The sequence below is a fragment of the Homo sapiens genome, chromosome 1 (assembly GCF_000001405.40).
Source record: "Homo sapiens chromosome 1, GRCh38.p14 Primary Assembly".
NCBI lineage: Eukaryota > Metazoa > Chordata > Mammalia > Primates > Hominidae > Homo > Homo sapiens.
Genome location: NC_000001.11, coordinates 43,668,735 through 43,685,477, shown reverse-complemented (window position 1 = coordinate 43,685,477; position 16,743 = coordinate 43,668,735). Strand labels below are relative to the sequence as shown.

The 16,743-nt window shown below is 47.4% G+C and overlaps 1 protein-coding gene across 1 annotated transcript in view, besides 1 other annotated feature; it reads right to left on the bottom strand.

The window, feature by feature from the left end:
- The window catches only part of KDM4A (lysine demethylase 4A), a 55,370-nt gene that overhangs the window by 20,041 nt on the left and 18,586 nt on the right, over positions 1 to 16,743 (bottom strand). The window contains exons 10-12 of the mRNA NM_014663.3: positions 16,179 to 16,378; positions 13,603 to 13,973; positions 1,674 to 1,794 (exon numbers count right to left, since the gene is read on the bottom strand). Coding sequence (NP_055478.2) covers positions 1,674 to 1,794; positions 13,603 to 13,973; positions 16,179 to 16,378 — 692 coding nt within the window. The remainder of the gene's footprint in view (positions 1 to 1,673; positions 1,795 to 13,602; positions 13,974 to 16,178; positions 16,379 to 16,743) is intronic.
- Positions 8,229 to 8,405: a silencer, noted in NCBI's record as "fragment chr1:44142744-44142920 (GRCh37/hg19 assembly coordinates)". NCBI's record gives its function as "represses an EF-1alpha promoter that drives an FKBP-Casp9 reporter gene in an ReSE screen in K562 erythroleukemia cells {active_cell/tissue: K562}" and the evidence as "EXISTENCE:reporter gene assay evidence [ECO:0000049][PMID:32094911]".

Here is a 16,743-nt window from a genome sequence, read left to right as displayed (position 1 = left end):
TCTTTCTACTGAAAAAAAAAAACAGCAGAGATGGGGCACTGACATCAGATCAGGAAGGAGAGGACCAGGTAGGACAGGGCCTGATGTTAGTCAAGAGTAACATGTACGATTGACTCTGCTCTCCCTGAAGGTGACAGGGCCCAGTCACCAACCAAGCTGGAGCTGAGGCTCGGCAGTGATGATCATCCTGGATCTCTGGGCTTCAGGCAGCCAAGGAGACCATGCTCCACTGATGTCAACACACCCTGAGCTTCAGTGCCACATTTCCTGGTTTTCCTTACACATGGCTGCTTACCCTGCTTCTCTGCCTCCTTCACAGGCTCCCCTCCCTCCTCTGTCCACCTAGCCCCAGCGTCTGCTCACCCCCCTTGGTCCCCTCCCCAAGATCGGCCTCATTATTCCAACAATTGTATCCAATGTCACCTCAGTGCCAACTCCTAAGTCTACATCCTCCATAGACACTGAACTCAGGTTTCCCCAACCAAAGCTACAAACCGGGGAGGCACTCAACTCATCCTCCTCAACTACCATCCTCATAGCTTCACAGCCAGTCACCAAATCCAGTTGATTTTATCTTCCAAATATATTCCCTACCACCACCATCCTACTTCAGACCTTCATATTGCAGGCAGACCATTACGGAAGCCTATGTGGTCCTCTCAAAGCCATCCTCAAGATGCCAGCACTAGGAGCGATCTTTTCTAAAGGAATCTAAATGACTCTGTCATTCCTCTGCTTAAAACATGTCACTGGCTCCTGAATGCCAGTAAGACAAAGTCCTCACTCTGGCCTCCATGATAACGCTATCCAGGATCTGGTCCCCCTCCTCCTACTCCACCTATCACTCCCTGGCCTTGCCCTCCAGCTCCAGCCACACTGAGCTGACTGTAGTTCCTCTGACTACAGCCTCCTGCTCCTCTTCTCCATAGCATGCTGTCCTTCTGCCCCAGAGTAACACCTCTTCTGTTTTTTTTTGAGATGGCATCTCGCTCTGTCGCCCAGGCTGGAGTGCAGTGGCACCATCTCGGCTCACTGCAACCTCTGCCTCCTGGGTTCGAGCAATTCTCCTGCTTCAGCCTCCTGAGTAGCTGGGACTACAGGCGCGTGCCATGACACCCGGCTACTTTTTTGTAGTTTTAGTAGAGATGGGGTTTCACGTGTTAGCCAGGATGGTCTCGATCTCCTGACCTCATGATCCGCCCACCTTGGCTTTCCAAAGTGCTGGGATTACAGGCATGAGCCACCACACCCGGCCACCTCTTCTTTCTTGAGATCTGTTTACCTGTCCAGTTTCCCCACCACCCTGTGAGTGTCTTGAGGGCACGGACATATCTTAGTTATCTTTGCAGCCACATATACACCACAGGGCTTTGCATCACTGACAGGATTTTCTGTCCTGAAAAATCAGCCTTGTACCTCCCAGGAAAAGAAAGGAAAAAACCTGCCTGCAATTATCCCCTATTAAGGTACACTGCAAGATACTCAAACTTATAATGGAATCTGGTTAGTCAATTAGATATAAGGAAATCCGGTCCTCTCTTTATGGAATATCTGGAAGAGCAGCTAAGCCACAGGCCCACCCTTATCCCTCAGCTTGGCCTTCTGATGTCCTGTCCTGTCAAGTCTAATGTGGTGAGCTGCTTTCCTCCTGGTGAAGAAAAAACAACACTTACCATCATCACTGACACACTCCTGCAGCACAAGTGGGTGATGGCGGGGGAGCTTGCTTAAAGGCTGACGGCGTCCCTTGGACTTCTTATTCTCTTCTAGGGAAAACATGTATTCATCTGCAACCTGGGCAAACCACAAGAAATTAAATTGGTCTTGTCTCCACTTGAGACACAGCACAAGTCACCCTTACAATGAAAACCAAAGGAAAGAGAGGGGCACAGAGAAACAAAAAGACATATAATACCAAACAGAAAATACCTATCTTAGAAAAAGCCAAATGACAATACCACGTACCAAACTAGTCTGAACCAGGATTATGTAAATTTAGGGCAAAACCCAAGTGTAGTTCTTGGCCTTCTTAGGAGCAGCCTGAAACCAGTGTACCAAAAACAAGCCTGCTCCAGCTCTGAGAGAGGCTTGCCCGGTCCCTTAAGCTCACTGCTATGAGACTACCAAGGTGGCCCAAGTGAGAGAGCCCCCAAGGAGCCTAGGTGCCCCTTTCCTTGGCCCAGTAGGTCAACAGTACCTGTTACAATGTGCCAGGCAGCTGGGCCACCCAGGAGTGTCTAGGGGACACCCAAAGGGGTGAGCAGCAGCTGACCTATTAAAAGTAAAATAGGCCACCTTCTCCTTATACACTGCCAAGACTTCGCGCTAGCAGATACTGTTCATTCCTCAGTTAGCTGCTGCTTCTCCAGGGGAGAACATCAGCCAGGACAGAAAGTGCATCTGAAACTCTGGCCTGGCTTGCAAAGGGAAAGGTTGATTTAAGACTGCATTTACATAATGTCAGAGCAAATGTAATTAGATTTAAATGTACAGGATTGACTCAGAAACACTACAGAAGGGTTTCTTTCTAATCAACGTATTTAAAACTTGGTTATACTGACATCAGGAGATGCAGGGTTAGCAAAATCCATTAAGCAAGGAAATGAGGCCTGAAAGAGGGCCACTTTGCAACTGTGACAAAAACCAATGCCATAAATGCTGCAGTGCTACTTCAGAGAACACACCCTGGGCCTACAGACTCCATGTGCAACTACACAGAGCCCCAGGAGTTAAGGACCACAGTTGGAATGCCAAGAGAAAACAACTTCTGAACAGGCCATGTCCAGGAAAAACAGAACCTGCTCTTCCAAACATACATTTTGCCAACAAGTTTTGCCATCCATTTGCCATTCATTCAACAAATATTCACTGGGCACCTACTGTGTGCAAAGGCCTGCCCAGGAAAAGAAGAAGGTGTAGAGAAGCAAAGAAGATGTGATCTGTGCTTACGTGAGTAAGGATGCTGCAGCAGTATGGAGGAATATGGTGGAGTGAGGATATCAGGGACCTTTTCCTACTGATGTCCATGAAGACTTACATGACCATAGACTTAATCAGACCGGAACTATATCAACTGTCTAAACCCATGGTTTTCAAAACGTACATCCGGAAAGCACCTCAGGAGCCTCCATTACAGTGAACAAAAAGGGCTAGAGGCCCCATCTTCTTTCCAACCAGAATGGCTCTGCTTTTGATTTATGTTTTAATTAAGATTTCACTTAAAGAAAGGGTTCTGGCCAGGCACAGTGGCTCACGCCTATAATCCCAGCACTTTGGGAGGCTGAGGTAGGCGGATCCCTTGAGCCCAGATAACATGGCAACACCCCGTCTCCACACACAAAAAAATTCAGGTGTGGTGGCATGCACCTGTAGTCCCAGCTACTCAAGAGGCTGAGATGGGAGGATTACCTGAGCCCGGAAGGTCAAGGCTGCAGTGAGCTGAGACTGCACCACTGCACTCCAGCCTGGGTGACAGAAGTGAGACTTTGTCTCCAATCAATAAGTAAGTAAGTAAAAGGGTTCTTTGGCTAAAACAAACTGGAAAACCCATACTTGCCCGACAGTCTTAACCATGTAAATAGAAAATTTAGGAGCATGTACCCCCAACCTATATATTACTTACTAATCAATTACATATACTAATATTAATGCACATATGCATATTTTAAAGCAAAAACAGACTATAAAAGGTTAAGATAAAAACAAAGTTCATTTTGCTTTATTCCTATACCCCAATAATATTCTTGTTTCCCCCCGACCTGCCCCCGCCATCACTTTGGGGGCACCTGGACAATAGGCCTAAACCTGTGGGCTGTGGCAGACTAGGGAAAAAAAGGATGGGAATAAAGAAGCCAGAAACGGTGGGGATTTCTAGCCTGGACCACCAAGGTGACAGGCTTTAAGAGGGCTCATGTGGAGGAAGTGGGGGCTAATAACAAACCAGGTTAAACAAGCTGTGTAGGGTACACAACATGTACCCAAGGGTCTTTTCATTTGGAAATACCCAGGGGAGGCAATAAGAAATTCAGACTGGGGGTTCAGAAAAGAAGTCAGAGCAAGATCTGGGAATCCGCAGCACCAGGTTCAGAATTACAATGGTGGGAGAAGATGAGATTGTCTTGGATGATGAATTGACTAAGCCTTCCAGGGACAGGAGGAAGAAGAGAAGGGAGAAAAGGAGACTCAGAAGCAGACAGGTAAGAGGAATACCAGAAAGAGAAGAAGGGGACGGCTTCAGGGAGGGGGAGATCCACAGGTCAAAGAACATAGAAGAGCTGAGCAGGGAAGTGGCCAAGGGACTCACTCAGCAACGGGGAGCTATGAGGACTGTTTTTTGAGATAAGTTCCGGTGGACAAAGAATAAGAAACTAAGGAGTGAATACGTCGTGGAGTATTTTTGAGAAGATCAAGGGAAAAATGAGATCATAGTTTGAGAAGGAAATTTCCTCTAGAATTGTATTTTAGCTATGATAGGGGCTTCATGAGCTTGGCTTTATAGGCAAAGCAGCAGCTTGTGAAAGGGAGATAGTAGGATATTTGGTAGAGAGAATAATGGTTCCCCAATATGCCCACATCCCAATCCCTGTGAATATGTTATTCTAACATGGTAAAGGAGAATTAAGATTGCTAATCAGATAGTGTTTAAAATAGGGAGCGTACCCTGGATCATCCAGGTGGGCCCAATGTAATCCCAATGGGGCTTACAACAGAAGAAGGAAGCAGAAGAGTCTGTCCGAGTGATGTGATGCCAGAGACACTTGGCTGGATGCCGCTGCCTTTGACAATGGACCTAGAGGTCCAGGAGCCAAGGAATGTGGGCAGCCCAGGGAGGCTGGAAAGGGCAAGGAAATGGGTCCTCCCCTGAGAGCCTCCAGGAAGGTACACAGCCCTGCTGATGCCTTCACTTTAGCTCAGTGAAACCCATTTCAGACTTCTGAACTGAAGAACCATAAGAGAACAAGTGTTTCAGCCTCTGTGTTTGTGGTACCTTGTTATAGCAGCAATAGGAAACAAATACAGGGTAGGAGGTACCTAAGATCCAAGTTCCAAAGGAGGTGGAAGGGTGAAGGTCAAGAACACCAGAATGCAGCTTGGGAAGGGAAGAGGACACCTTTTCCATGATCAGTATATTCACAGCACCTCTTATATACCCAGTATACGGTGGGAATACTTGTTTTGGCAATGCAGAGAAAAACAAGACGTGATCTCTAACCTCAGGGAGGGAGACCTGGTGTCCAAGTCCGAAGTCTGAGCCCTTTCCACTACCGTCATGCTGCCTCTGACCAAAGTAGTCAGGTCCATTCAAAGATTTGAATATCTTTTCACATTTCCTCATCTCCTGGACAGTACTCCTCCTGCTACCATGGCATCCGCACCCTTCTCATGGTGCTGCCTTCCCTGGGATTGCTCCAGTTTCTAAATTCCCTCAGTATATAACAGAAAGGTCAGGGTTCGACCAACTAGCAGCTGTGTGAGCCTGGATGAGTAGCAGCCCCACCAGTAAAACGGTAGTAATAAACCCTTCCCCAGAGGGCTCTTTTTGCAGACAGGGCGGGATAGCAGGCAGACTCCCAGGGCCCTGCCTGAAGAAAGCTGGAACTCAAGGCTCCTGAGTTCTTTCCTCCCTCATCCAACATCTGGCACCAGGGTCAAGGTTAGTGTTCCTGATAGGGTTTATTCTGTACAGAGAAGAACCAATTGTTCTCCCACCTTGTTTTGGGAACTCACTTTTCAAAGTAGCTTGAACTAACAAGAACTTCTGCAGCAGACATATGGCTGTGGCTCAGTCAGTAGGTAATGAAAACTCTACAGTTTCGGCAGTGTCAGCCAGCCAGGGTGCTTTTACCAAAAACTGCAGTTTACCAGACTGACCTAAAAAAGGCCCTTGACATAGATGGTGGCATGGAAACTGAACAGCAGGCAGCCCAGATTACAGCTTGGGGATGCTTAAAGTGGGGGTGGGGGAACATAAGGGTGCTCTAAGGAACCCAGTTGTCTACAAATATAGATCCAGTGCTATAAGACCTCTCCAGGGATGGACAAAGTTGCTCAGCTTCTGCCCCCAAACCTTGACTATCTGTCCCTTATTCCTCCCAGTCAATTAATTCTGATGGTGGCTTCTTACTAAAACAAACCTGACCTTCCATTTACTCATTCCATCCTCATTACAGAGGGTTTCATAGGCCAAGCCCTCTGGACCGTGCTGGTAACTCAAGAAATGAGGATGAATGTGGCACAGGGCCCAGCTTCTAGAAGGTTATATTCTTCACCAGCCTATGGCAAGGGCATTAAGAAACTAGTACTCTAGGGCTTCAAAGAAGAAAGGGAACTAGATGGAAAGCAATGAAGTGTTTCTAAGAGTAGTGGCTTTTGAAAAGGGCTGGGTTGCACTAAGCAGAGGTAGTTATCTGACTACTCTAGGCGACCCTCAGAGATAAATTCCCCATCTCCTCCCACCTCAAAACCATCTGCATTCTGGTGACAGTGGCCCAACAAAGTGAATGTACTTACTGCCACTGAACTGTTTACTAAAAAAACTGTTAAAACAGGTAAATCTCATACCGTGTATATATTACCACAATTTAAAAACACAGGCTGGGTGTGGTGGCTCATGCCTATATCCCAGCACTTTGGGAGGCCAAGACAGGAGGATCACTTGAGCCCAGGAGTTTGAGACCAGCCTAGGCAACATAAGGATACCCCATCACTACAAAAATAAAAAACTTAGCTGGGCATGATGGCACATGCCTATAGTCCCAACTACTTGAGAGGCTGAGGTGGGAGAATCAGTTAAGCCTGGGAGGTCGAGGCTGTGGTGAGCTGAGATCGCACCACTGCACTCCAGCCTGGGCAACACAGCAAGACCTTTTCTCAAAAAAAAAAAAAAAAAACCTATCTGCAGCCATCCCCTCCTGTCCCTCCACCTGCACTCCCACTTCCTTAGATCCCCAGAATCCAATCACTACCTCTTCAACTTCCCCCACTTGGCAGGACCCTGCCCTTTAATACAAGGCACACTTGGCCATATCTCCCACTGTCTTGAACTCTTCTCCTGCCCTGGCACTGGATACACTGTTCTTTCCTAGTTCTCCTGACCTCTGGCTGCTCCCTCACATTCTCCTACCTGGGCCCTCTCCTGTCACCCCACACTGTGAAACTGTTCTTCACTCTACACACATTCTTCCATGCCCACCAGTGCCCTCCTGGTGACTCCCACACCCACAGACCAACCCTCCCACCCCAGCTTCAAGGCTATGTCTATGTGTCTCCATAGCCTACCTCACAAAAGTCCCCCTCTAGACGTACCCAAACTCAACTCATTTCCTGGCCCACACTAAAAACCCTTTAGTTTTCTTATAACCATTATCCTATATGGATGACACCACCACCTATCCCAAGAACTCAAAGCTGGAAACCCGAGTCAAGCCCCATGCTACCCTCTGACTCACCCCCATCCAGTCACCCAGTCCTATGTGCCTACCTTCCAAGTAGCTCTCAAGTCCATTTTCTGCTCCCCATCCCTATCACCACCACCTACAGGTCCTCACTACCTCTCTCTCAGACTAAAGAAACAGGTTCCTAATTGGTTTCCCTGTTTCAAATCTTTTTTCCTCCTTTCCTGAAGTAGAAGTATTTAGTTATAAAAATCACATGTTAATCATAAAAATATTCAAATGATGCATAAATGTAGGAAGTGAAATCATCCATAATTCCACCTTCAAGAGAACCTCTGTTAAACAATTTCTAATTTTGCCTCCTTCTTCCTCCCCCTCAAAATCTTTATACTGCCTCCAGAACAATCTTCCAAAACATCAGTGCAGTACTTAAAAAACCCTTTACTGGACAATCAATGACAGCTTCTTGATTAAGTCAATGGTGAGGAAAAAAGGGGGAGAGGCGCTGGCCTACATTAAGGAAGACTTCAGAACATCATCGGCAAATCAAAGGTGTGGGCCTTGATTTAATCCTGATACAAACCAATCAACTGTAAAACAGATTGGACAATGAGGAAATTTGATTATGGACTGGATAGTAAATTATGCTAAAGAATTTTTGTAGTTTTCTTAGGTATAATAATGGCATAGTTATCATCTAAGAAAGTGACCATATTTTCCTTTTTTTTTTTTTTTTTTTGAGATGGAGTCTCACTCTGTTGCCCAGGCTGGAGTGCAATGGCAAGATCCCAGCTCAGCGCAACCTCCGCCTCTCAGATTCGAGCAATTCTCCTGCCTCAGCCTCCTGAGTAGCTGGGATTACAGGCACCCGCCAACACGCCTGGCTAATTTTTGTATTTTTAGTAAAGACAAGGTTTCACCATGTTGGCCAGGCTGGTCTCGCACTCCTGACCTCAGATGATCCACCCCCTCGGCCTCCCAGAGTGCTGGGATTACAGGTGTGAGCCACTGCGCCCAGCCAAAAATGACCATATTATTCAGAGATACACACTGAAGTAGGGAAGAAATGACAAGGTATCTGGGATGTGCTTTCAAATACTTCAGCAGAGAGGCAGATTAATGGGCACAAATATATAGTCTGATAGAAGAAATAAGACCTAGTGTTTGACAAATCAGTAGGGTGACTATAGTTTACAATAATCTATTGTACATTTCAAAATAGAATAATTTGAATGTTTCTAGCATAAAGACAAGACAAATATTTAAGGTGATGCATTTACCAATTACACTGATTTAATCTTTACAAATTAATGTATTAAAGTATCAACATGTACCCCAAAAATATGTACATTATATACTAATGAAGATAATATAATTTTAATATAAATACTTCAGCAAATTGAAAACAGGACAAACAAAGCAAATATGGAAAGATCCTGACACCTGTTAGAATATTTGTGGGTTTGGCCGAGAATGGTGGCTCACACCTGCAATCCCATCACTTTGGGAGGCCGAGGCAGGTGGATCACGAGGGCAGGGGTTCAAGACCAGCCTGGCCAAGATGGTGAAACCCTGTCTCTACTAAAAATACAAAAATTAGCCGGGCATGGTGGCAGGCGCCTGTAATCCCAGCTACTCAGGAGGCTGAGGCAAAGAATTGCTTAAAGCCAGGAGGTGGAGGTTGCAGTGAGCCGAGATCATGCCACTGCACTCCAGCCTGGGCGACAGAGCAAGACTCCGTCTCAAAAAAAAATTATTTGTGGGTTCACTGTATTATTCGCTCTGCATCTTTCTAAGATACTGTGTCATTCTGTCACCCAGGCTGTAGTGCAATGGTACAGTCACGGCTCATTGCAGCCTCAACCTCTCAGGCTCAAGCAATTCTCGCACCTCAGCCTCCCAAAGTGCTGGGACCACAGGTGTATGGCACCCTGCGTGGCCTCCCTCTGAATCTTTGTGTGTGCATTTCTTTCTTGCTTTTTTTTTTTTTTTTTTATCTTTTTGAGGTAAAGTTTCACTCTTTTGCCCAGACTGGAGTGCAGTGGTGTGATCTCAGCTCACTGCAACCTCCGCCCCCCACCACCCCAGGGTTTAAGCGCTTTCCTGCCTCAGCCTCCCAAGCAGCTGGGATTATAGGCGCCCGCCACCACACCCAGCTAATTTTTCTATTTTTAGTAGAGATGGGGTTTCGCCATGTTGGACAAGCTGGTCTCAAACTCCTGACCTCAGGTGATCCACCCGCCTCAGCCTCCCAAACTGCTAGGATTACAGGCATGCACCACGGCACCCGGCCCTTTGTGTGTGCGTTTAAAAGAATGAATTATGAAAGTTTTCAATTTCCAAATCCATATGGTGCATATGGTGGGGACCCTTCTGCTGCTCCCTACACCACAACTAGGTCAAACTGCTTCACAGAGCAACAAGGCAGACCCTCCAGGTTCTGGCTCTTGACATCCCCCAACAGCACCACCTGAGGCCCTCTCCAGTCCTATATGCCTGAGACAAACTAAACCACTGCAGATCCCCAAGTGCTTTGACCCTGGCATGAGTTATCATGAGCATTTAGAACACCCTCCTCTCCCAGATTCTCTTCGATTTCATTCTGTCCACCTGGCATTCTTCTAACCTCAGGCCTAAACTGTTTCCTTCTCTCAGGCAGTCCAGAACTCTACACTGCAACCCCAGGCTGAGCTGCTAACTCTCCCACTTGTACCACAACACGTATCATTAAGTACTGGAATGATTTGCTCTTACCTATCTATCCTAGACTGTGAGCTCCTTGAAGGCACAGTCCTGGCCTAGAGTAGGCATGCCATAAATGATTAGAAAGTAGAGGGAAGTGGCAGGGCAGCCAAGACAGTTTTAGAGACTTTTAAGTAGTTCAAACAAACAAGCCAGCACATGTTGGAGGTGGAGGGATGGTTGGCGATGGAGCAGAGAGGGTTATTTATTAGGGTATTATCATCAGGCTCGGCCTGAAAAGTACATACCGAAATAAAAAGGAACCAAGAAGACACTCAAGGGTTTTTGAGCAGAGGACTGAAAAAGAGAGACATGTCAGAGAGAAGACCCCTTCCCCTAGCACACTTCCACACGGAAGGAGTCCTGGCTTTTCTTCTCCCCACCCCCTTGAAAGCTGTGCTTCACTTCACTAGGATCTGTCTTTTGGAGAGGGAGTGCATTCTGGCCTACATCCACACCACATGGAAGCTGAGTGCTTCCATGGAAATGCTTTGCCTCTAGAGGGGCCTGGAGACATCAAGAGTAAATGAGTAGGCCAGGCGCGATGGCTCACACCTGTAATCTCAGCACTTTGGGAGGCTGAGGCGGGCACTCAGGAGTTACAGACCAGCCTGGCCAACATGGTGAAACCCCATCTCTACTAAAAAAAATACAAAAATTAACCAGGAGTGGTGGTGCATGCCTGTAATCCCAGCTACTCGGGAGGCTGGGGCACGAGAATCACTTGAACCCAGGAGGTGGAGGTTGCAGTGAGCCAAGATTACACCACTGCACTCCAGCCTGGGCAACAGAGCGAGACTCAGTCCCCCCACAAAAAAAAAAAAAGTAGCAGGGCCATTTAGTCACAGGTTAAAAGTCACTTTCTTCAATCATTTTAACTTGTAAATAAAGCGACATTCTGAGCTCCATATGCCTGACTCTTGTATCATCAATTAAATAGTTCCGAATTGAGAGGAAAAAGGACAGGTGTTATTTATTGGCTTCCTGCACCTCCCACCCCAAAAAATTCCCACAAAAACTTGACTCTGTAATAAGATTAATTAAGCAGTAATACAAAGACTGAACAATGCATATAAAGTATTTAACAGCTGGGGGGCGGTGGGGCACACAGTGGCTCACACCTGAAATCACGGCACTTTGGGAGATCAAGGGAGGAGGATCACTTGAACCCAGGATTTCGAGACCAGTCTGGGCAACATGTTGAAACCCCATCTCTACGAAAAATACAAAAATTGGCCAAGAGTGGTGGTGTGCACCTGTAGTCCCAGCTACTTGGGAGGCTGAGGTGGGGAGGATGGGTTGAACCCAGAAGGCAGAAGTTGCAGTGAGCCAAGACTGTGCCACTGCACTCTACCCTGGGCAACAGAGCAAGACCCTGTCTCAAAAAAGATAAACAAAGTATTTAATATACAGTGAGCTCTTGCTACTTCTTAGCTGCTTTTTGTGATTGTGATTGCAACTAGAAACAAGAATGTCAGGAAGACTCAGCAAGAGGACAGCATGAACTGTAGTGAACAGTAGTCAACAGTAGGATGGATGAAATGGCCCGGGGCCTCTGCGAAGGAAGAATTGCTAGGTGGCAACTGGGAGTTAAAGAGACTCTGGTTTCCAGGCTGAAAAAGCCCTCCTTTATGGAAGCTGCCATAAGAAGGCACAGAGAACTGCAATCAGAGGCAATGAGAAGGAAACACAGTAGTTATTAGCTCATTAGCCTGCAACCACAGTGGGATGGAAAGAGGAACATTCACAAGGTAAAAAGAAGTCTACCAAAACCGTACCCTGAGATTCAGAGAAGGCACCGAGAAAAGTTATGAGTATCAACAACAAGGAGACAAACCTACCATAAAAAGGGACTATTGGCAACACTAGGGAAATGTGAATATGACTGAGTGTCAAGTACTGCAGCCAAAGAAAACAGAAAGCAAATGTGCCAAATGTTAATCATATATATGATGAGTACACGCGGGGGCTCGTGATGGTATTTTGTACGTACGTCAGAAATTTTCCATAGTGAAGATTTTTAAGATACATTTTTAAAAACTAAAGGTAAGGGAATAGGGAATAAAGAGGACCTTCTGCACTGGCTTCTTCTATCTCCCACCCCTCACCAAAGACTGCAGCTTGACCCACATAAGCTCCAAGGCTGGGGAGTCAGGGAAAGTCACTTGGGTAGTGGGGGTCCAGTGGCATCTGACATGACTGATCACTCAGAGTGGCAGACCCACCAAGAGCCATTTTGCACAAAAGCAGGAATCAGCTTTTGGTGACAACATGTATTTAAGGAGGAAGCCTGAACACACATGTTCGTGTTTATAGCTTTGGGAATGCATCTTGGTCTCCAAAAGGATGCTCTATCAATGTCATACTGGGAGTCTACAGGGCAGTCAAGAGGTGTAAGAAAAAAACCCTTGAATTTCAAGGTAAGAAAGGTCATCTCATCTGATCCCAAACCTCCAAACACGTGGGCTCCAACAGCAGCCATTCTAACCCTGGTGCCGCTAAGGCAATGAGGATCAGAGGAAGAGTTCCTGCCTACCCCAGTTGAAAAGGCCAGCCACGGTGGTTCACGCCTGTAATCCCAGTACTTTGGGAGGCCAAGGCAGGCGGATCACAAGGTCAGGAAATCGAGACCATCCTGGCTAACACGGTGAAACCCAGTCTCTACTAAAAATACAAAAAATTAGCTGGGCGTGGTGGTGGGCGCCTGTAGTCCCAGCTACTCGGGAGGCTGAGGCAGGAGAATGGTGTGAACCCAGGAGGCGGAGCTTGCAGTGAGCCAAGATCGTGCCACTGCACTCCAGCCTGGGCAACAGAGCGAGACCCCGTCTCAAAAAAAAAAAGAAAAAAAAACAAAAGGCCAGCCACAGTGGCTCACGCCTGTAATCCCACCACTTTGGGAGGCTGAGGTGGGCAGATCACGAGGTCAGGAGTTCCAGACCAGCCTGGCCAACATGGTGAAACCCTGTCTCTACTAAAAATACAAAAATTAGCTGGGTGTGGTGGCACACACCTGTAATACCAGCTACTCGAGAGGCTGAGGCAGGAGAACTGCTTGAACCTGGAAGGCAGAGGTTGCAGTGAGCCAAGATCATGCCACTGCACTCTAGCTAGGCAACAGAGCAGAGACTCTATCTCAAGAAAAAAAAAAAAGGCATTGTGATCCAAGTGGGCTGAGGAGGATCTGCTGCTGTGACTCAGGCTGCATTGATGCAATTCTTGGAATCAGTAGCCACAGGGATAACAGAAAAGCAACTCCCAGCAAAGAACAAGCTGGGAGAGTGAATGCCACCCCAGGCTTTTGTTTGACACAACCACTGCTGGCTAGAGGCACTGACTGAGGGTCTCTCCTGCCCTCCTGCAGCACCTCCATCACACAGATCCACCTCCCTCCCCCACACAGATCCCCTCCCGACAGGGTGTCCTCCAGGGCAGCTCCCCACCCCACACCACTGCCTGGAGCCCATACCTCTGCCAGCTCCCGCTCACTGAAACTTCTAGCGGCGCTTCCTTTCTTCCTCGTGCATGGCTCTCCCACAGTGACCCTGCCATCCCCTTTGGCATAACTGTGCACAGTGAGAACTCCCGTTTGCCCTTGGGCTCGGCAGGAGAGAGGCTCACTAGTTTCTGAATCAGAAGAGATAGAATCCCGTGAAGAGCCAGAGCCCAGGCTAGAAGATGATTTCTTTTTGGAGCCTGAGAAGACAAGGCGTCCCCCTACAGACGCAGGATTCACAGAAAGATCCAAGGCAGCTGCTGCTTGTTCTTCCTCCTCATCCTCCTCTTCTAGTTTGACATTTTTAAGCTCTTCAAATTTGACTTCAGTGGAGTCAGAATAATCTGAAACACACATACACATTAGACAGAGCCAAGTTCCTCCTGCACATGTGAACCTGATGAAAGGCAGAGGGCAAAGCACAAGGAACATGGGCGGGGAATGGGACCTGGCTTCCAATCCTGGCTCTGTCACTGAGGGGCACTGTGAGCCAGGGCTATTTGCTCAGCCTCCTGGCCTCCAGCTTCTTCCTCTGTAATGAGAAGATGCTACTACAGATCTACAGGGCTCATAAATAAGACTCCTGAGCACCGCCTGGCACTCAGCAGACACTCAGTAAGGGGCAGCTGCCATTTCCTCCAAAGTCTCCTGCAGGTAATGCAAGTCTGAGCTCAGCAGAGACCTGGCTACCTAGCCCATGCTAGAAAATCTAAAGATCTTGAAAAATATTAAGAGGGTGGATGTTAAATGTTCTCACTGCAAAAATGACCACTATGTGAATATGTATTTTAAACAGCTAGATTTACCCATTCCACAACTTATATATACTTCACAAATCATGTTGGACCAGGAGCAGTAGTTCAAAACTGTAATCCCAGCACTTTGGGAGGCCAAGATGGGAGGATTGCTGGAGCCCAGGAGTTCAAGACCAGCCTGGGCAACAAAGTCAGACTCTGTCTCTACAGAATTTAAAAATTAGCCAGGCATGGGCCAGGCATGGTGGCTCACTGCTGTAATCCCAGCACTTTGGGAGGCTGAGGTGGGCGGATCACGATGTCAGGAGATCGAGACCATCCTGGCTAACAGAGTGAAACCCCGTCTCTACTAAAAATACAAAAATCAGCCAGCGTGGTAGCAAGCATCTGTAGTCCCAGCTACTTGGGAGGCTGAGGTAGGAGAATCACTTGAACCCGGGAGGCGGAGGTTGCAGTGAGCCAAGATCATGCCTTTGCACTCCAGCCTGGGAGACAGAGTGAGACTCCGTCTCAAAAAAAAAAAAAAAAAAAAAAAAATTAGCCAGGCGTGGTGTATGCCTGTAGTCCCACCTACTTGAGAGGCTGAGGCAAGAGGATTGCTTGAGCCCAGAAAGTTGAGGCTGCAGTGAGCTGTGTTCACAAAGGCTTGGGCAACACAGTAAGACCCCGTTTCTAAAACAAACAAAAAAATTATGTTGTACAAGACAAATATGCACGATTTTATCTGTCAATATAAATAAATAAATTTGAAGAGAAAAAAGGGAAAGAAAATCTGCTGAAGAGAAGCCAGCCCAGCCCAGGGTGTCAGTCCACAGTGCTGCCTGGCTGTCGGCAGACCACATCTTTGGGTCATACCTGACCCAAGACAGATACAAGCCTTTCTCTAACAAATCTAGCCTCAATGACCTTCCAAGTGACTGCTAAACAGCACTGATCACACCACTCCCTCTCTTAAAATATAAATGGCTTCTTAAGCTTCCAAGTGAGCAAATGAAAATGGCAGACAGCCCTACATCATCTCCTATTTCTCCAGCGTCACCTTCTGGTCACACAGCTGCCTTCCACCCTAATATTCAATTGAGGGAAACTCCCCACCAGTTCCCCCAAGTGGACCATGCTATTAATATTTCCCATCTCTGCTGGGAACAGTGGCTCACGCCTGTAATCCCACTTGGCATTTTGGGAGGCCGAGGCAGGCGGATCACCTGAGGTCAGGAGTTCAAGATCAGCCTGGCCAACACGGTGAAACCCCATCGCTACTAAAAATACAAAAAAAAATTAGCCAGGCATGGTGGCAGGCACCTGTAGTCCTAGCTAGTTGGAAGGCTGAGGCAGGAGAATCGCTTGAACCCAGGAGGCAGAAGTTGCAGTGAGCCAAGATTGCGCCCCTGCACTCCAGCCTGCATGACAGAGCAAGACTCCATTTCAAAAAAAAAAAAAAAAATTCCCATCTCCATGCCTGTGCCCTGCTCCTCCCATCTGGGACTCCCTTTCTACATCCCTCCTCTCTCTCTGTCCGCCTGGGAAGGTCCTACTTACCTTGTAAGAGTCACCTTCACCAAAACCTCCAGTGTTTCCCTGACCCCTGACCAGGCAGAGGGAGGAGCTTTTCCCTACGTGTCCAGTCCTCCCTGTACATCCCTACCCAAAGCACTTCTCACACTCCAAGTATGCTATCTGCTCACGGACCTGTCACTCTGCCTTTTTTATTTCTGACCCAGCACTCAATATGGCATCTAACACGGGACACATATATGAGTTAGGGTTGTGGAAAATACACCATAGTCAACTAACCTGGGAAGGTAAGACCATCCTCAACTTGCCGCACAGAGCTATGGGTGGGCCTCACAGGGGCGAGGGCTGCCGGGCACTCCGTCATCTCATACTGCTCAGAACTCAGATCCTCCTTGGGGAAGAGCTCACTCTGACTCACCTCCTGTGGTATTTCAAGACAAACTCGGTGCCTCTTTGTCCCTATTCGGTGCTTGGCCAGGCTGCAAGGGAGAGGGCAAATCTTTTAAGAGCCCACATATACATCCACTTACTCAAACACATTCATACACATCCACACACAACCCAAAGTGAATGGCCAGAGCCTGTCAGGCCTGGCTCAAAACTCAGGGACACCTCTTATTTGTGACTTGAGACAAGGGACTTCACCTCTCTGACCTTGTTCAATCATCTGGAAAATACAGGTATTACCACCCACCTAACAGATTTGTTGTGAGGATTAAGAAAAGGTATGCAGAGTAGCTGGCAAAGTGCCTGGCATATAGCAGGTACCAAGGAACGGTTCCTCCTTTCTTTCCCATATGGCCCAGGATAAATTCTCCTCAGAGCACAGATCCCCTGGCTCAGC